Below are 20512 nucleotides of genomic sequence, written 5' to 3' on the forward strand. Positions count from 1 at the left end.
TACCAAATCTCATTTCAAATTGTAACCCCCAGTGTTGGAGGTGGAGCCTGGTGGAAGGTGACTGGACTGTGGTGGTGGATCCTTCATGAATGGTTTAGCACCATCCTCGTGGTGCTGTTGTGATGGAGTTCTCAAGAGACCTGGTTGTTTAAGTGTGTGGCACCTCCCCCCACTTCTCTTCCTCTTCCTCCAGCCACATAAAACATGTCTGCTTCCCCTGTCGCCTTCCACCTTGATTGTAGGTTTCCTGAGGACGCCTCAGAAGCCGAGTAGATGCTGCCGTGCTTCCTGTCCAGCCTGCGGAATCAAGAGTGAATTAAACCTCTTTTCTTTATGAATTACCCAGTCTCAACTATTCCTTTGTAGTAGTGCAAGAACAGACTAATACACCGTCACTATTTACAGATGAAATGTAAGACCATGCACTGAAAAATAATTAGAACCGATCTGAACGTTTAGTAAGATTGCGATCCCAGAGCAAACTACAAACCCTCCCCAGCCCTTCTGCACAGCAGCTCCAAGACACCTAGGAAGTCTAATGGTGAAAATGATTTAATTAGCAGAAGCAACCAAAACAACACACTTAAGAATACATACGAGATCCTTTGAAGAAAATAAAAAATTTTTGAGGAAGCCAAAAGAAGATCAGAAGGGTTAGAAATGCACCACCTCCTTTAAAGGGAAGCCCTCACATTGCTGACGGACACTCCACCTCCACTTCAGTAAGTTAAAGCAATATCATCCCAAGGAAGGCCCTGTCTTCAAGGAACTCAGCTTGCTGATTTACAGATACAGGAACAGACATGTCCATTTACAGAATAAAAGTAAGAGAATGCAGCCAGAGGTGAATGATGACACATAAATTAAAAATAAGATCATGGATAGCTGGCAACTTATGCTCAGTAAGATCCCACGGTCATATCCTCACCTTCCATATGTGCCTTAAACATTACAAGAACTACTAAACTACTAAGAGATAGTACAGAAGAAAAATGTTATAAAATCTGAGTGAGGAAGATCTTCATAAGCAAGATTCTCAACCTAGAAGCCATGAAGAAAAAACTAACTTCTGTTCAGCAAAAGACCCTATAGACAAATCAAAAGACAGGCAAAAAGCCGGCGGGGCGCAGTGGCTCACGCCTGTAATCCCTGTACTTTGGGAGGCTGAGGCAGGTGGATCATGAGGTCAGGAGATGGAGACGATCCTGGCTAACACGGTGAAACCCCATCTCTACTAAAAATACAAAAAAATTAGCTGAGCATGGTGGTGGACGCCTGTAGTCCCAGCTACTCAGGAGGCTGAGGCAGGAGAATGGCATGAACCTGGGAGGCGGAGCTTGCAGCGAGCCGAGATCGTGCCACTGCACTCCACTCTGGGCGACAGAGCAAGACTCCGTCTCCAAAAAAAAAAAAAAGCCTTGGGACAAAATATTTCCATTACCACACAGCCAACAATCTGAATTTAATCTCTTCTTTACTGAAATAAGAGATAGGATGTAAGCAGCCCAACATAAAAATGGGGAGAGGATAGAAGCAAACAATTTGCAAAACAGACATGTGAAACATGCTAAACTTCACTAGGAGCCAGGGAGACATATACAAACACATGAGCTATAATTGATAGCTGAAAATTAAAAGGACTGGGACTACCCAGAGTTGAGGATGGCTGAACAGCAACAGGGCTCCCCTAAACCGGAGGTGGGATCACACTGTACAGGCATGGGGAGGCCCGCTGGAGTGGGGGCAGCAGCTTTCAGACTTTAGTCTTAGGCACAGGCATCCTTCTTGGAATAGCTTATCCTACAGAAAGACTCACATGCATACACACGCGTGCATACACACACACGGAATGTTTACTACACACTTTAAGACAGAAAAACTGGAAGCAACCTAAATGTGGCTGCCCAAATCCCTCCTCTCCCCCAGTTCATGGCACCCACCAAACTGCACAAGGCAGAAACAAGAGCTCTCCATTCCTAACTTTCTCTTCTGCCTTCCATCCATGTAATCCGCTAGCCCAGCTCATTGGCTGCGGAAGCATCTGAGAGTCATCCACTCCCTTCCATCTCTGCTGCCAACTCCAGGCCTCTGCCCCTCATCTGAACTGGGACTCAGCTGCCCTGTCTCTAAGCATCCTCACTGCTTCCCACTTAACCAGCCCTAGCTCTGGGGAGCCCATGAGGTGACACCATTGCCCTCTGTACTTCAAATGCACCCAAATTCTCAGCGACAGCTGCCAGGCCTGACGCGTGTGGCCCCTGCCTCCTCTCCAGGCTGCCCAGACACTGCTGTCCCATGCTGGAGTCACCTCACTCACCAGCCTGGCCTCCTCCAGGTTCTCAGACTCTATCCTCCCTCATGGCCTTTGCATGCTCTCTGCCTTGTATTTGGAATTTTTTCAAACACCTGTGGCCCCAGCTGCCTTCCACCTTCCCCTGCTGGTAGCCTCCTCAGAGAACCAAGGCTCCCCATCCACCCTGTCCTGTCCCTGTCCACCCTGAGGGATCAGGCCGCCTGACCCACTCCAGACCCTCTCCACATGGGTCTATAGCTCAGCCCTTGGCTGCCTCTTCTGCAGAACACATCAGGCTTGCTAGTGCTGTTCTTCTTCCTGCCAACTTTTTTTGTGTCCCTTTCCCAAGAAGAGGTAGCTCTGAGGCCGAGAACTCTATCTGTCCTGACTACTGCTGTATCCCATCTCTTAGCACAGGGCCAAGTGGCTCAAATCTTTGCTGAACTTATGGAAAAAAATGCCTGGACAGGAGCCGACTTAAATATAGTAGAGCACAGTACTCCTCCAGCATGGAAAGCAGCACTGGAAGGCACGCAAAAGCTCTAAAGGAGCCACAGGGACATGAGCTCTGGTCTGTGGGAGGCAGCTGTGAAAGTGGCTCAGAACCCAGCCTCCACCAGCTGGGGTGGGGGCAGCCTGCACAAGCGCTCAGCCACTCTCTGCCTCAATTTCCTCAACTGTAAACTGAGAACAAAACCGTCCCAACTTCATGCAAGGATGAAATGATGCAATTCCCACAGAGTGCTTCACACAGCACTGACAGAAGGCAAGTGTTTAATAAAGGAGGCAAAGAGCTAAGCACCAGGAATAAGCAACACTGCCGTAAAAAGGGGAAAGCAGTATATCTGTGGGTGTCTGCACCCAGGAATTCCAAACAGAGAAAATGAGAGAAACTATTTGCAAACTACTCATCTGACAAGAGATTAATAACCAGAATGTATAAGGAGTTCAAACAATTCCATAGCAAAAAAACAAGTAACTCAATTTAAAAATGGGCAAAACATGTGAACAGACATCTCTAAAAGAAGACATACAAAGAGCCAACAGGTGTATCCAAAAAATGCTCAACACCAATATTTATCAGGGAAATACAAATCAAAACCACAATAAGATATCATCTCACCCCAGTTAAAATGACTATTATCAAAAAGGGAATAATGGATACTGGGGAGAATGTACCAAAGGGGACCCCCTATACTCTGCCGGTGGGAATGTAAATTAGTGCAGCCCCCATGGAGAACAATATGGAGGTTCCTCAGAAAACTAAAAATAGAACTATCATATGATCCAGCAATTTCACTGCTGGGTATATACCCAAAAGAAAGGATCTGTATCAAAAAGATATCTGCACACCCGTGTTTACTGCAGCATTATTCACAATAGCCAAGATATGGAATCGATCTAAGTGTCCAACAACAATGAACTCATTTAAAAAAGGTGGTACATACACACAGTGGAGTGCTATTCAACCATAAAAAAGGAGTGAAATTCTATCATTTGCAACAGCATGCATTAACCTGGAAGACAGGCATAGAAAGACATATGACATGTTCTCACTCATGTGCAAGCTATGAAGTGGATCTCATGAAGACAGAGAGTAGATTGGTGGTTACCAGAGACAGGGAAGAGTAGGGGGGTATGGAGGATTAAAAAAAAGTTGATTAATGAGTACAAATATATGGTCACCTTATTGATTTATATAATACTAGGCCTTATTTCTGCTCATTCTTGAAATAAGTACACTTAATTAAATAAATCAATAAGGTGACTACCGTCTACAATAATCTATTGTACACTTCAAAATAGCAAGAAGAGAAGAATTTGAATGTTTCTAAAGTTAAGACAAATATTTAAGGTGGTGGGTATATTAAGTACACTGATTTGACCTTTACAAATTACATGCATGCATTAAATTATCTCATGTACCTTGAAACTATGTTTATCTATTATGCATCAATTAAAAAGTAATTAGTTAATTCCGCAGAGCAAAAGGAGCCAAAAGAACCCTGAACACCAACCTCAAAGGAGGGCCATGAGAAGTGAAGTGAGAATTTCACTCTCTACAGACTTCTGGGTTCGACTATTTAAAATAAAGATCACAAATTACTCATGCAACTTTAAAATTTATCTAAGAAAGAATGTTTTCATCCAGTTTCAGGCCAAGGGTCCTATATGCTTCTCCTCACACAAAAACCTATACTCAGGGTCCCTTGTGATCCCCCTCTGCCCTTGTGGAGGGCTCCCCCTCCCTTTCTAGGAATTCCAGAGAAATCACTGCTCTATACCTAAACACAATGAGGCTATTAAGTGCTTGAGGCCAAGTCACATGAATATTAACTGCACAGGCCCTTTTCTATACAGGCAGCTTCTGGAAATACTGAAAGACTTTGCCCTTCTATTTTCTTTTCTTTTTCTTCCTTTCTTTTCCTTTTCTTCTTCCCTTAAAGGAGTTTTAAAAAAAGTTAAAGGAGTTTTAAAAAAAAGGGGCGGGTTAAAGAAAAAAGGATACACCTCAAAAGTAAAGAGGAAAGACATTCTTGCTTGTGGAGGAAACATAATGTAATTGTAATCGTTAAAACTGTGCGAGGAGTAAATAGTTTGGAGTGGAGAGGCGTGCACAGTTGATAAAGATCTCTCCTCTCCTCAATGAAGAAAGCTGTAGGGAAACAGTCAATGTGCTTTGGACGCTTTATCACCACCCCCAAACAGCCAGTTATCAACATTAGCCCATCACCAGCACACACACCAGAGCCCACTAGGGCCTGGCATTCTATTCTAAAGATGATGATATCTTTTCATTCTCTATATCATTAGTACATTCAGTAAGTAACTACTGTGTGTTCTAGGTTTTCAGGGTAATGTCTATATAAACATGAATAAGGAAAACCAATCCTCAACTCAGAAAATCAAGAATTTTGCAAAGACAATGGAAACAGAGGGTTCCTACAAACAGGAATGGTTGGTAAACAATGATTAATGGCTCTGAAATGCATCACTATCATACAGTAGCACAAGATTGAAAACTGACACAGGGTATGGACACATTAAAAATGACTTTATCTAGCAATGTAATCGAACTTTTCTGCAGTATTCTTTTTTAATGAGTGTGCATGATCTCCAGTATTTAGTTCTCTTGGTCTCCTGCACAGACTGGTGCAACATCCTCCCAGGTACCCACTGCCTGGCTGCCGGGAAGTCCAAGGCAGGAATACCAGAATGCCCGCACAGATGCCCAAGGCAGGAGTACCAGACTGCCGGCCCCTCTGGCTCCTGATCCTCCAGTTCCAAAAGGACACCTGGATCCTGAAGGTATAGGGCAGGCAGGTGCAGGCAAGCATGGGACACCTTAAGAGTACACTTAACAACTGCAGGGAGTCCTGTGTTGTTTCCTGCCTCCAAATGCAGACGACTTCCATCCTGGTACGGCCTCTTGTCATCTGCCTGCCCCAAGACCATGCTCTCTGGCCACACGGTCACAAGGACTTCAGGGATGCTCCACAGGAAGCAGAATGCTCTGGTCTGGGCAGAGCTGGCCCACTTTGAGGCCCACATCCACCCATCGCACTCTTGAGTCACAGTATGGCAGCCCCCATGCCATACCCTCCATACCTACAAGAGTCCCTGCGGCTCCTGGCCAGCAGGGGGTACATTTCAGCTCCCAACCCATCCTTGGGGACCCAAAGACAGTTCTTACATCGTCCTATCCAGGTATCTTTCTTAAATCAGACCCAGCAGTGAGCCACTAGGCCCGCCATGTTGGGGACCCTGACTGTGTCCTACACTGGGCTGCTCACACCTCGTTCACAGACATGACCCATCTACCACTTTGCTCCTGTGTTGCAATCGAGAAGCCCAAGCTGTGCCTCTCAATGACCTGTTCTGCCTTCCTGGAACTGGGGAGACCAGTTGAGGAAGCAGCAGAAACCCATGATGCTCTCCAAAGCTGGTTCCTTCTCTGTGCAGAGGGCCTCAGGTAATCATCTGCCTCCTACACTGGGGTTCTGAGTGAGAGCTCAGCATTCTGCTTCCCAAAAATACCTACCCAGCAGCCCTATGGTGCTGCCCAGCTGGGTCCGCTCAAACCTCTCCCAACACCCCCAGCTCCACTCCATCATTGACACCTCTCAGGCCTGCAGCCACCTAGACACAGCCTCAGCTCCCATGACCTGGCGACAAACTGTGCAACGATAAAGGCAAACCCTGAGTGGTGCCTTAGCTAAAGAAAGTAAACAACCTGTAATTTGGCAAATAATTTAGAAAAATCGATGCAGGAAGCTCAAATACCAGATTCTGCACTAATTCTCTTTTTACCTGGCTCTTGTAACTTGGGTAGAAAAGTTTAAGACTCCATTGCTACCTCCTTCAATCCCCAAATTAAGACTTCAATTGCCCTAATAAGGCCTTCATAAACCCCCAGGTTCATTGTGGTCAGCTGGGAGTTCTGTTTTCACTTCCTTTATAATCACCTCTATGTTTCCCCTTAGTCCTGAAATTCAGTATTCTTTCATTAATTCACTCAGTACACACTTACCATGTCATCACTATGTTCTCAATCTTAGCATTGTCACTTACAGAGCCACCTCCAACATGCTCCCTAATCTGGTTTCTGTAGGTCTGTGAATGCAAGATGCCAAAAGTGCAACCAAACTTCACCCATTGGTCAAGATCGTAGAATGATGATCTCAACAGAAGCAGCTTGTGGCAAGCATGACCGACCATTGCTTTTATCAGTTCTGCAAAAGCTGCATGCAAGGATTCTGGAGGAGCTTGTTCACAAGTGTCTGAAAGGGGGCCCTCAGCTGTTGATGAGGCCCACAGGGAACCGCCCTCCACAGTTGGTAACTTTAGTTCTAGCTATTCTCAAATCATTGGCCAAAGAACAGCTCCTCCTTTTCTATTTCAGGACGTTTACTTCTTGGAACAGAGGCAAAGCCAAAGGGAGAAAAGTGGAGCCCCATTCACTGGGCTGATGAACAGAAAGCTACCCGGGACCACAGACACGACTGGTATGCAGGCAAATCATTCTGATGCCCACCTCTGAACTCAGGGGAATCCATCTTAAAGCATCCACTACTCCCCATGAGAATGGAGTCCCCATGATGAGGCTGTGTTCTAATCAAAGCTAATTCAAACTTCCTTCACTCCATCAAAATCCACTCTTAGCATTTCATTACACATCCTCCTCTCCGCAATTTGAGCCATTGAAAGAGTCACAACAATCGAATTTCAAACTGTCTCCTGTTAACATTACTAAGTTTCCTCTGAATCTTTTTAGAATTCCATTGTCCTCCACTGTTGTGATGCTAAGTAGTCAGGAATCTGACCAGAGCCATGGAGCCACACAGGAGGTCGGGCTTCCCAGGAGGAAAGAGAGTCCTGGGACCCGAGAAAGAACCTGTCCTTCATATCCACCAAAACCACCTGCTTAGCTTCTCTTGGCAAATATAGATCAGGTCCTCTTCACTTCCCCCATCCTTCCTGACAGAGGAAAATGGGTCCACGGTCATGAATGTCTCACCCTCCCTCCAAGGCTGCCCTTCTACAAAGTCAGCTCATGGCCAGTTTTGTGCACCCTGTACCCCATGGTTCAGGGGTCTCTGAGCACCACACTAAGGACCTTTGTGCTTCAGGAGGTGGTGAGACTCACAGGGCCTCTGACAGGGCACAACACAGCCACATCTGTGTGTGTACTCAAAGACTGTCAGCCTGCAACAGCAGTGGGGAGGAAGAGAATGCAGATCCCTGCTTTCTCTGCAACACCCTTCTCTCCTCAGCTCCTTTACATGTCAGGTAAAAAAAAAAAGCCAGCCTTCTTATTCTCCCGTTGCTGTCGATTAACACTCCTTTGTTCCAAGGCACTCTCGGGTGGATGATCGAATGACGTTGGTATCACAGTTTCTTTTACAAACCTTCAGTCTTCCCCCCAGTAAAGGTGACCTGAGGATAGAAACGGTCGTATATACCTGGGCAGCCAACACAGGACACATCACACTGGCTCAACAAACACTGGGGGAAGAGACAGAGAGACAGCTGCCTATGCTTGTGCATCACAGCCCCCACACTCAAGCTGTGCCAAGCTTCCCAAGAGTCCCTCAAATGCTGCTGCCCTGCCTGGTCCCAGGCTCTCTAGACTCAGGCGACTGAAGCTAATCACTTCATCTAGTTCCATCAAGGTGGTATGCAGCATCTAGCATTACCACTTCCAGGCTGCATCCACGTTTTAACACAAAAAGGGATAAAATTTTTCTAGAAGACTGAAGAAGTAAGTTCCCTCATTTGGCACATAATAGTTACGGACCAAGTATCCTCAAGATCTCTCTGAGGCCTAAGCTGCTGAGTTTCTGATTCAAACAACAGACACAAGAGAACAAGCAGAGGAACTGGTGGTTCCCAAGCATCTATCTGAATTCAGTGAGGGGGTGTTGCAGCCCCTGGCCTCCAAGGTCTCTGCCTAAATCCCCACACCTGTGCTTCCACCTGTGGTAGCCTCTCACATGGTACCCTGGTATGAGTGACCTCACCCCTATGGCAAGACCTCCAGGAGTGGTAAAGCCAAAATTATCTTCAAGATAGTAAGATACGATGTGTCCTTGTCCCTTGCATTCCGTCGCGAATGCACAGCGGAGTTTTCTAGAGGCCAAATAGCATAAGACTGATTGCAGGTGGCAGGGGGATGGGGGGATCCAACTACCTTCTCTTAAAGCAGACATTAAAGGGATTTAAAAAGTACAAAACAATGACACTCTTCCCATTTTTTTTGTTTTTGAAAATACAGCTTTTTTCCATAAAAGATGTTATGTTTACATATAATGGGTGAATATTCTTTTTACATGGAGAAAAAATATTTTTTAAATGCCTGTCAATTCCTAAAATAGTAAATTTCAATATATACAGCCACATAACCACAGCTCTTTGGGGCCTTCAGTAATTTTTAACAGTGTCAAGGCGCCCTAGGACCCAGCCCTGGGGGTGCTCCCCTGGGAATCTCAGCCCTGCCCAGCACCCAGGACTTCAATGTGCCCTGTGGAACAGTCTGACAGAAGCCAAACCTCCACCCCTAGACATGGAACTGCTGCCCAGTGAAACTCTGCAAAGAATCTTAGTTTTTATGGAGTAAGAGTCCATGGAGACTTCTTCATTCAGAAAGATTTTCTTAAAAACAATATTGAATTTGAGACCTGGCCACACAAATGAACATCACTGGCCAGAAACCATGTGCTACTCAGCCTGCTCCACACAATCAGCAGGACATTCCATTCCGGTCCACTCCACCAGTCTACTCCTCCAGGGCCAGTTTGAAGTAGGGGGTCCCAGAGGGTCACTGCCTTTGAAAAGTGGCTCAACTGTTCTCCCCAAAGGTTTGTCCTGCTTGTTGATTCTGGCAAGATGCATAGCTCCAGGTCATTTAGAATGTTCCTCCCCTGCCTCCTGCATAAGCCACACGAACAGCGAGAGTCAGAAGGAAAATGTCATATGTCCAGTATTTCCAGTTCAAAGTACAGCCAGCAGGACGGACTGCCCCCCTGGGGTTGCCAACACTCACAGGTGGCCAGAGCTTCACCATCTGCCCTCTCCCTGTGTTAAAACAGGAGCCAAAACTAAACAGCACACATCAGCGCCCAAGATTCGTGCTACTCTCAACTGATACTGCTCTTGGCTATCTGTGCCATTTTGTTTAAACTGGTAGAAGAGACCAGAACCCGCAGCCCAGTAGGAATGAACCCCAGGCCTCCCCACAGCTTCAGGGCAACGTCCTCCTCTCTCTGCCTGCTGCAGGATTACCACTCTCAGGATTCAGCACAATGCTTAACAAGAGGAAAGAGGATCTATTTCTGACCTGGCAACATGAGACTTACTCTTCTAAACGGGGCATGGGCCTTCATCATATCTATTGTTTCAACTCATGAGTCAGGATATTACAAAGGTAGAAAGTTCTTACCTGTAGGAAGCCAAAATCCACCCTGAAAAGTCATTACAAAGCCAACCTCACTTGAATGGCACATGTGTCCCCTAAACCTGGTACTGAAGTACAAGAGGCGAAGTGAAATTGTGATGCGGATGTGGATCTATTCAGGCGACCTCCTTCAACACCACCACGGCCCTATGGTCTCAATCATTTTAAGACAAAAAGGGAAAAAAGTTGTGAGAACCTTGGTATAAGAACCCCCCTTGCCTCTGAAAGACACTCAAAACCTAAGGCATTTGCTGTAACCCTCAAGACCACAAAATGGCCACTAGGTCTGGAAAGAAAGGTGAACTGACGCCACACTATAACATAAAACAAAATCATGTTACTTGTGTCTCCCAACTCCCCAGCCACCTCGTTCTGGTCTTCTAGACCACATTCTCGATGCAAGAGTCCCAGGACAGTCAAAGAATACAGAATCATTCCCGAAACATTCCACCAAGGCAAGGGAATTAAATATCTGTTAATGTCTGTTATAAATTCCACAGCAAACATCATACTCAATGGCGAAATAGTGAAAGCTTTTCCCCAAAGAGTGGAAACAAGACAGAATTCTTGCTTTTGTCACTTCTACTTAACACAGTATTGGAAGCTCTAGCCAGAGCAATTAAGTAAGAAAAAGAAATGAAAGCCATCCAAATTGGAAAGGAAGAAATAAAATTATCTGTTAAACTCTTAGAAGAAAACATATGCAAAAATCTTTATATGGACATTGGATTTGACAATGACTACTCAGATATGACACCAACAGCACAGGCAACAAAAGAATAAAATAAATGAACTTCATCAAAAATTAAAAATTTTTGTGCGTCATAGGACACTACGAAGACAGTGAAAAGACAGCCTGCAGAAAAGGACAAAACAGTTGCGTATCACATAACTGATAAGAGTATTAATATCTAGAATATATAAATTCCTACAACTGAGTAACAAAAAGCAAATCAAAACCACAATGAGCAATCATCTGATGCCTTGTATTAGTCCGTTTTCATGCTGCTGATAAAGACATATCAGAGAACTGGGCAATTTACAAAAGAAAGAAGTTTAATGGACTCATATTTCCACGTGGCTGAGGAGGCCTCAAAATCATGACAGAAGGTGAAAGGCATGTCTCACATGGTGGCAGACAAGAGAAGAGAACTTGTGCAGAGAAACTCCCCTTTATAAAACCATCAGATCTCATGAGACTTATTCACTATCACTAGAATAGCATGGGAAAGACCCAACCCCGTGATTCAATTACCTCCCACCAGGTCCCTCCCATAGCATGTGGAAATTATGGGAGCTACAATTCAAGATGAGATTTGGGACACAGCCAAACGATGTAACACCTATTAGGACAGCTATAAGGAAAGAAAGGGGAAGGGGAAGGGGAAGAAAGGCAAGGGAAGAGGAAGCGGAATGGGAAGGGAAGGGGAAGGGAAGGGGAAGGGGAAGGGGACGGGGAAGGGAAGGGGAAGGGGAGAAAGGGGAAGGGAGGGGAGGGGAAGGCAGGGGAGGGGAAGGCAGGGGAGGGGAGGGGAGGGGAGGGGAGAGGAGAGGAGAGGAGAGGACAGGAAACGAAAAATGCCAAGTGTTGGCAAGAATGTGGAGAAACTGAAACCCTTGTGCATTATTATTGGGAATGTAAAATGGTGCAGCTGCTCTAGAAAACAGTTTGGCAGTTCCTCAAAAAGCTAAGCATAGAATTACCATATAATGAAGCAATTATAATCTAGACATATATACAAAAACATGGAAAGCAAGTACTCAAAGATAGTTATACACCAATGTTTACAGAAGCATTATTCACAATACCCAAAAGGTAGAAACATAAATGTCCATCAACAGTTGAATAAACAAAAAGTAGTATATACATACAAGGGAATTTATTTGTTTGTTTATTTATTTATTTATTTTGAGACGAAGTCTCGCTCTATCACCCAGGCTGGAGTGCAGTGGCGTGATCTCAGCTCACTGCAAGCTCCGCCTCCCGGGTTCATGCCATTCTCCTGCCTCAACCTCCCAAGCAGCTGGGACTACACATACAAGGGAATATTATTCAGCCATAAAAAGGAATGAAGTACTAATGCATGCTACAACATAGATTAACCATGAAAACATTATGCTAAGTGAAAGAAGACACTCACAAAAACCACAGACGATTCTATTCACATGAAATGTCCTGGACAGGGAAATCTATGCAGACAGAAAGTAGAGTTCCTTAGGGTTGGGAAAGCAGGGGGAGCAATGGGATGGCAGGGAGTGGGGGTATGATAGCTAAAGGGTGCAGGGTCTCTTTTTGTTCTAAAATTGACTATGGTGGCGGTTGCACATAGCTGTGAATATATTAATTGAACACTATATACAATGTATGTGTGTGTGTTTATTCATTTCTGCAGTTATAACAAAATACTTGAGACTGGATAACTTATAAAGAACAAAATCTATTTCTCACAGTTCTAGAAGCTGGGAAGTTCAAGATCAAGATGCCAGCACTTGGTGTCTGGTGAGGGCCTTCTTGCTGTGCCCTCACATGGCAGAATGCAGAAGTGCAAAAAGGGGATCCTAGCTAGTTCTCTCCAGCCCTTTGATGGGGGCAAGAATCCATTCATGGGACTGGAGCCCTCATGACCTTATCACTTCCCAAAAGCCATACCTCTTAATAGAGTTGCGTTGGGGAAGTGATAAGGCCATAAGGAGACACAAACATTCAAACCATGGCATTCCACCCCAAGTCCCCCAAATTTATGTCTTTCTCACATACAAAATACATTCATTCCATCCCAATAGCCCCAATGTCTTATCTCAGGCCAGGATCAATTCAAAAGTCTGAAGTCTAAAATTTCATCTAAATCAGACATGTGAGACTCAAAGATGTGTTTCAACCTGAGGCAAAGTACTTCAGACTTCAGCAGTGGCTCACTCCTGTAATCTCAGCACTGTCGGAGGTTGAGGCGGCCGGACTTCTTGAGCCCAGGAGGTCGAGACCAGCCTGGGCAACATGGCAAAACCCCATCTCTAATACCAAAAACAAAACAAAACAAAAAAAAAAACTAGCTGGGCGTGATGGCACACGCCTGTAGTCCCAGCTACTCAGCAGGCTGAAGTGGGAAGATAGCTTGAGCCCAGGAGGCAGAGGTTGCAGTGAGCCGAGATCACACCACTGTACTCCAGCCTGAATGACACAGTGAGATCCTGTCTCCAAAAAAAAAAAACAAAAAAAAACAGTGGAACAGACAAAGAACAGACATTCCCATTACAAAAGGGAGAAATAGGAAAGAAAAAAGAGGTAACATTTCCCAACCAAATCCAAAACCAAACAGGACAAACATTAAATCAATGGTAAGGCTGGAGAATAAATCTTTGGTTCCATGTCCTGCCTTCCAGACACAATGGGGCAGGAGTTGGGTTCCCAAGGACCTGGGCAGCCCTGCAGCCAACTGCTGGGCACAGCCCTCATAGCAGCTCTCACAGGTTGCAGTTGGGTACCTGCAGCTCTCCCAGGCTGGCACTACACACGGGTAACTCTACAGTTACAGGCTCTCGAGGGCAGCCCCACCCCCACAGCTCCATTAGGCATTGTCCTTGTGGGAGCTCGCTAGTGTGCCCCCAGCCTCAAGACTCTGCTGGACATTGCCCTAGTGGGGGCTCTTTTTGGCACTCCTGCCCCATGGCTCTATTAGGCATTATCCTAGCAGGGAGTCTCTGCAGCAGACCTATCCTGCAGCAATTCTCTGTCTGAGCCCAAGACTCTCTGAGGCATCCTTTCAAATCTAGGTGAAGGTAGCCATGCATCCACAGCTCTTGCACTCTGCATACTTGCAGACTTAGCGCCATGTGGATGCCACCTAGGCTTATGCCCTGTGCCTTCCACAGCAATGGAACTAGCTGCACTTGAGCCCCCTTGAGCTACAGCTGGGATATCCAAGGAGGGCTGCACTGTAATGCAGAGAGCAGAGAAGTGATGCCAGGCAGTGAATGCTGAGGTCCTGCAGACGCCCAAGGCCTCTCCTTTGACATAAGTTCTGTTCCCTGGGCCTTGGTACTCTGGGCCTCTGATGGGAGGGGCAGCACTGATAATCTCTGAAATGCCTTCAGGATCATTCTTCCATTATCTTGATGAATAGCATCTGGCTTCCTTCTATCCATACTAATCTCCTTATCAAAAGGTCACTTGGCCACACCCTTAGTGTTTTCTCCCAAACATGTTTTTACAACCTGGGCAAGCTAAAAATTTTCCATATCCTTAAATTCTGCTTCCTTTTCTTTTTTGGAAACAGGGTCTCATTCTGTCACGCAGGCTAGAGCGCAGCAGCAGAATCATGGCTCACTGTAGCCTTGACCTCCCAGACTCAAGTGATCTTCCCACTTCAGTCCCCTTGAGTAGCTGGGGCTAAGTGCACACCACCACACTCCGCTAATTTTTTTTTTTTTTTACTTTTAGTAGAGATAAGGTCTCATTATATTGCCCAGGCTGGTCTTGAACTCCTGAGCTTAAGCAATCCTCTCACCTTGGCCTCTCAAAGTGCTGGGATTACAGGCATGAGCCATAGTGCCCAGCCTCTGCTTCCCTTTGGATTATAAATTCCATTTTCAATTCATTTCTCTCACATTTTACTGTAAGCAATTAAGAGAAGTCATGCAGCATACTGAATACTATGCTCACGGATTTCTTCCACCAAATATCCTAGGTTGTCACTCTTAAATTCTGCCTTCCCCAAAGCCCTAGAGTATGGGCACAATTCAGCCAAGTTCTTTGCGCCTTTGTAGCAAGGACTGTCTTTCCTCCAGTTTCCAATAAGATATTCATTTCCATATACGACCACAGCAGAACGGGCTTTACTGTCTATAATACTACCAGCATTCTGATCACAGCCACTTAGAAGTTTCTAAGAAGACACTGGTTATCTCTACGGCTCTCCTCTTCTTCTGGGCCCTCACCAGAATCATTCTTAATGCTCTGTTCACAGAAATTTAGGCTTTTTCTAGCAAACACTTCCAAACTGTTCCATCCTCTACCCATTACCCAATTCCACTTTTCTTTTAAGTATTTGCTATAACAACACCCACTCTCAGTATCAATTTCTGTCTGTGCTGCTATAACAAAATCCACAGGTTAGGTAATTTATAAATAATAGAAATTTACTTCTCATGGTTCTGGAAGAGAGGAAGTCCAAGATCAAGGCACTGGGGTTCAGTGTCTGGTGAGGGCCTCTCTCTGCTTCCAAGATGGTGCCTTGTTGCCACACCCTCCAGAGGGGAACAAATGCTGTATCCTCATATGGTGGAAGAGCAGAAGAGAGCAAACCCATTCCCCCTCAGGCCCTTTTAAAAGGGCCCTAATCCCATCTATGTCCACTCTTATGACTTAAACACCTCCTAAAGGCCCCACCTCTTAATAACATCACGTTGGCCATTAGGTTTCAACACATGAATTTTGGGTGATACATTCAGACCACAGCAATCTGTATACACACACACACACACACACACACACACACCATTGCACATATCTGTAAATATACTAATTATAATTGAATTATATACTTCAAATTTAAATGAGTAAATTGTATGGTATGTGAATTATACCTCAATACAGCTTTTTTTTTTAAGAGAGGACTGTATGAAAAAACTAGCCCATAAAGATACATGCACACCTATGTTTATTGCAGCACTACTTACAAAAGCAAAGACATGGAACCAACCCAAATGCCCATTAATGATAGACTGGATAAAGAAAATGTGGTACATATACACCGTGGAATACTATGCAGCCACAAAAAGGAATGAGATCATGTCCTTTGCAGGGACATGGATGAAGCTGGAAGCCATCATCCTCAACAAACTAACACAGGAACAGAAAACCAAACACTGCATGTTCTCACTCATAAGTGGGAGCTAAACAATGAGAGCACATGGACACAGGGAGGGGAATAACACACACCAGGGCCTGTCAGGGAGGGGAGAGGGACTGAGGGGAGGGAAAACATCAGGACAAATAGTTAATGCTTGGGGGGCTTAAAATCTAGATGACAGGTTGATAGATGTAGCAAACCACCATGGTACACGTATACCTATGTAGCAAACCTGCACGTTCTACACATGTATCCCGGAACTAAAGAAAGAAAAAACTAGCCTAATGAAATAATCAGCACAAGAGGGGTTCTAACTCCACCCCGACCCCCCAAAATTTGGAACCACCATAGTCTAGCCATCTTCCTCTTAAAGTGTCATAATACATTGTGGCACACAAAATTTTCTGAAATGTTGTGCCATAAAGAAACCAACTTTATCTAATCCAAAGTTTCCTCACTTATTTGGCAATAAATTATTAGCTCCTGTAGTATCTAAAACCTTCAGGAAGCATTAAGTTGCCCAACATCACCACCAGCCTAGGAAGACTGTTAATGAAAGATGACAAAGGAATGGGTCCAAAGTCCCATGGAGCCCATCAATGCATTTACTGATCAACTAGGGCAGGCACAAATACAAACATTCAAAAATGTCTTTGCTATCCAAGGAAGAACTTTGGTGGTAGAATTTTTCAAAAGGTGGCATTAAGTAGAGGTGATCCACACAGTGGAGCCTTATACACAGAACAGACTCACAGTGCAAGCAAGACAAAAGCTGCTTTAATACCACCTACCCTGACAGGGAAATAATGGGACAACCCAACCCTACCTCCAAGGGTAGGGTCGGGCTAACGCTGACAGAAACAGGCAAGGGCCCCAGCCAGAAGCCCCACTGGGACATCTTTATTGCTTCTTTCTATGGCTTGGAGGCCTTCCAGGTTCCAGGCTGTGATGCTGAGACATGAAGGCACTGAGCAAGGACCTTGGAAGAAGTGGGGTGTTAGCATGCACAAGCTCAAAGCAGATACAATTCCTACATTCTTAAAAGAAGGCAGGTGGGGCTTCCAAATCCGCTCAAGATTCAAAAGGTTTCAAACCTTTCTAAAAGTGTTCTATCATCATAAACAAAAGAGAAACCACTAAATAAAATCCACAGGAATCCAAACAAATGTCAAAGCAGGACACTGTACAAATATTTGCCCCTGGAATAAAGTATGGACACATTTAAGAATGTCATTTACAACAATGTAGGGCTAATCACTAGAAAATTCTTGGTACAAAAATTCTTAGATTAAGTAATAGCATTATTAATAATAGTTCTTACCAGGTAAAGTGTCCTCTTCAGAGAATTTCTAGAGAAAAAGACACTAAAGTGAACACAGGGGGAAATGCATTAAGACCTTACTGCACAAAGTGTGGGCCACTGACCAACTGCAAGCATAACACCTGGGAGCTGGTCAGAAACCCAAAACCTCAGGTCCCAACCAAGACCAACTAAATTAGAAGCTGCATTTTATTATCAGCCCCAGGAGATTCCCATGCATATTAAAGTTTAAGTTGTGGTATTTTCAGACATTGTTAATATTTAACTTGTATCAGAACTGAAACGTGCCAGCTCCCTTTAAGAAAATAAATAAGCAAAATATATTAACATCACTATTTTATTGTTCAGTCAACACAGGCCATCCCTCTACTCACCCTCCCTTCCTACACAGATTTCATTATTTTCCATCTAAGTAAGGCAGGAACAGATGACGGAGACAGACTGGCTCCTCAAACACCTGTTGAGTGAATGACAGGCGGGGTCCCTTGTCAAAAGCCACCCAGAGCACTCCTTGCCATTCTCATCCCACTTGAGTGCTGAACAACTGCTCAGAATTACACAGCCATTGTTGGCAACGGCACATCACCAGTCTCAAGCCACCAGGACTACCTTGACAACACTCAGAAGCTGGCTCCCAGACACTGCACAGGAAAGGAAAAAAATTATTTGTAGGTGACTTACAGGTACCATTTACACATTTAGAATTTTCTTCCCTCACTAATATGAGATTTGAGCCTGAGGCATCTAGAGTTCAGCCCAGACTCTTCCAGCTGCCTTCAGGCAAGTCTCCACAGACCAGAAATGCCCCTGGAGAGATAGTCCTGGACCCCCTGACCGAGGAGGCAGAGAAAAAAAGGGAAGAAAGAAGCAAACGGGGCCAATAAATGCCTACTGGCCCCCCAATCCTAGTCACAGCTCAGCATTTTCTGGCCCCTTTAATTTAACCTCTGCCGGCCGTGAGAGGAACAAAGCCCATTCCACATGAAAACAGAAGAAATGTGTCTCCTGAACAAATCAGAATAAACCGTCATGGAAAGGGTTCCAGGGTTTGGGATGGGTTAGGACTTTGTGGATCATGCCCAGCCAGTGAATTCTGTGAAATATGAGAAAATATGGTCCATCACACCAGTTCTGCACGTGATGCATGGCCATGCCCACTACCAGATGTGCCAAGTTATTTAATCTGACAGAAGCAAAAGGCCCACATAAAGGCCTCTTTTGACATGTGCTCCCAGACCTCCTAGGGTCCACAGGACTCATACTGCCTCAAGGCCTCCCCTCATTCTGCCCTTGACCCTTCAGACAGGAGCTGCTAACTTTCTAACTGAATCACCAGAAGCCCCAGTAGTTACAAGGCCCAGAACACCACATCAGTTCTCAGACTTTATACTTGTAAGAATCACCTGGCATGCTTTACAAAGACAAAGAATTCCAGGTCCCAAGCCCAGAAAGTCAGTTTCGTAGCTCAGAGCTGGGGCCTGGGGATACATACCGAGAGGCAGTCAGCTCTGATGTAGGTGGTTCAGAGGTCACACCTTAAAAACCCTGGTCTCTCCTATACATTCTTCCTCCTGAGAATTATCAGAATGCAGCCTCCCAAGTCTGAAAGAAAGGTAAAACCATTCTAGTCCAAGCGAGTTTCCTAAGACATTCTTACTAAGTCACAAGTACATACTCCAAGAAGCTGCCTGGCTTTTGTGGGAACACAAGTGTCAGTGAATTTAGGCTGTGGCCTAAATATGCAAATTTTGGAGCCTAACCTCCAAAATTCGAAAGATGCAGTGTTCTCTCGAAGTTTGGAAGCCTAGTTCTGGGGTGGTAATTACATGATGGCTGGAGGAGCAACTGGTGATGGAAATCCTTAGGAGACACTAAAAATAACTCACATTTTAATCGACCAATCTGGAACTTCTCTCACCCCTTCATGCCAATCGTGCAATTACCATAACTCCATTCACCATGTTCCTCAGCAGTTAGTATGCACCATTCTCAGTCCTACAAGATAGTAACTATTATCCCTGATTCACAGGTCCAGGTACAACGGCAGGTAGCACAAGATGGGGAGGGGACTGAACCACACTGCACTCACACCCCACCCTACAATTAAAAACCGTCCTTCAGCGCGTGGCTGCCGAGCACCTCAAACTGAAACAAGTGTTCTTTACCACCTTTCTCTGGAGTGACAGAGAGAAAGAAAATCCCAGTAAGCCCTTCTGGCCCTGCCCACCACCTCCCCTGTTCCCACCCAGGCCAAAGGGGGAATGCGTGGGCCCTGCTCCCACCCCCGATGCTGACATCAAAGGAGCAGAGACACGCAGGAGACTCCAGGCAGCACCCGAGGCCCTGGCCGCCAGCACGTCATAATCCCTGCAGTCGCTGCCTTTCAGACTTAAAAAGAACAATGAGGAAAGACACCCACGCTTCCCCTCACTGGGCTAGGAAGGAGAGCTTTGCGGGTTTAGACTGCAGTCTCCCCCGCCCATAGCCACCTGTGTGCCGGCTCCGCAGACGAGGTCCCCCCAGCACCCTGGCAGGGACTGTACCATCAACAGACAAATGGCAGCCGACCAAGGAGGCGACTGGCGTGTGGAACAGGTGATCCGATTGTTTTTCTAAAGAGCAAGGGCTAGGACGTCCTACGTGTTCATATGCACAATTTTTTGAACTCCATCAAGAACACGAACCCCATGCCCACATCTTCACTGCTCAATTCACATTGTCTGATATGCACCTTCCAGGGAGAAAGAGGTTTTCATGGAGAAAGAGGCAACGTTGACTATACGTGTTTACTCAAAGCTTTTTTATACCGGACTATATGCCATCCAGGTTTAAGAGAATTCCAGGCAGGCTCTAGCATTATGTTTTTCACAGAAAAAGCCGGTGCAGTAGCCCGGATGCCCAGATCCACTCATTTCCCAAACCGGTTCCCACACCCGCTGCCCACCACCTGGCGAGGAAGGAGCGGGCGAGGTTCGCTCGAATCGTCGTCACGGGTTTCCGTGGGTACAGTTATTACTCGTTACATAATATTAAACAATTAAGATTAAAAATGGTTACATAATACTGTCCTATGGCTGGCGGCAACGAAGCTCGGG

The 20512-nt window shown here is 45.4% G+C and overlaps 1 protein-coding gene across 20 annotated transcripts in view, besides 2 other annotated features; it reads right to left on the minus strand.

Annotated features, from left to right (window-relative positions):
• Nucleotides 1-20512, minus strand: part of GRB10 (growth factor receptor bound protein 10) — a 203386-nt gene that overhangs the window by 171650 nt on the left and 11224 nt on the right. For 2 of the 20 annotated variants that reach the window (XM_017012031.3, XM_017012029.3), the window contains exon 2: nt 232-297. The exons of 15 other annotated variants lie outside the window; for them this stretch is intronic. In XM_017012031.3, coding sequence (XP_016867520.1) covers nt 232-297 — 66 coding nt within the window. Of the gene's footprint in view, nt 1-3; nt 13444-18909; nt 20463-20512 lie in introns of those variants that run through there. 3 more of the 20 variants (NM_001350814.2, XM_047420253.1, XM_047420254.1) reach the window with 3 other exon arrangements.
• Nucleotides 7146-7725: an enhancer, noted in NCBI's record as "OCT4-NANOG-H3K27ac-H3K4me1 hESC enhancer chr7:50836560-50837139 (GRCh37/hg19 assembly coordinates)". NCBI's record gives its function as "activates a minimal SCP1, AML or CMV promoter by ChIP-STARR-seq in primed H9 embryonic stem cells {active_cell/tissue: H9 hESC(primed)}" and the evidence as "EXISTENCE:reporter gene assay evidence [ECO:0000049][PMID:30033119]".
• Nucleotides 7726-8306: an enhancer, noted in NCBI's record as "OCT4-NANOG-H3K27ac hESC enhancer chr7:50837140-50837720 (GRCh37/hg19 assembly coordinates)". NCBI's record gives its function as "activates a minimal SCP1, AML or CMV promoter by ChIP-STARR-seq in primed H9 embryonic stem cells {active_cell/tissue: H9 hESC(primed)}" and the evidence as "EXISTENCE:reporter gene assay evidence [ECO:0000049][PMID:30033119]".

Source organism: Homo sapiens, chromosome 7, assembly GCF_000001405.40.
Source record: "Homo sapiens chromosome 7, GRCh38.p14 Primary Assembly".
Classification (NCBI taxonomy): domain Eukaryota; kingdom Metazoa; phylum Chordata; class Mammalia; order Primates; family Hominidae; genus Homo; species Homo sapiens.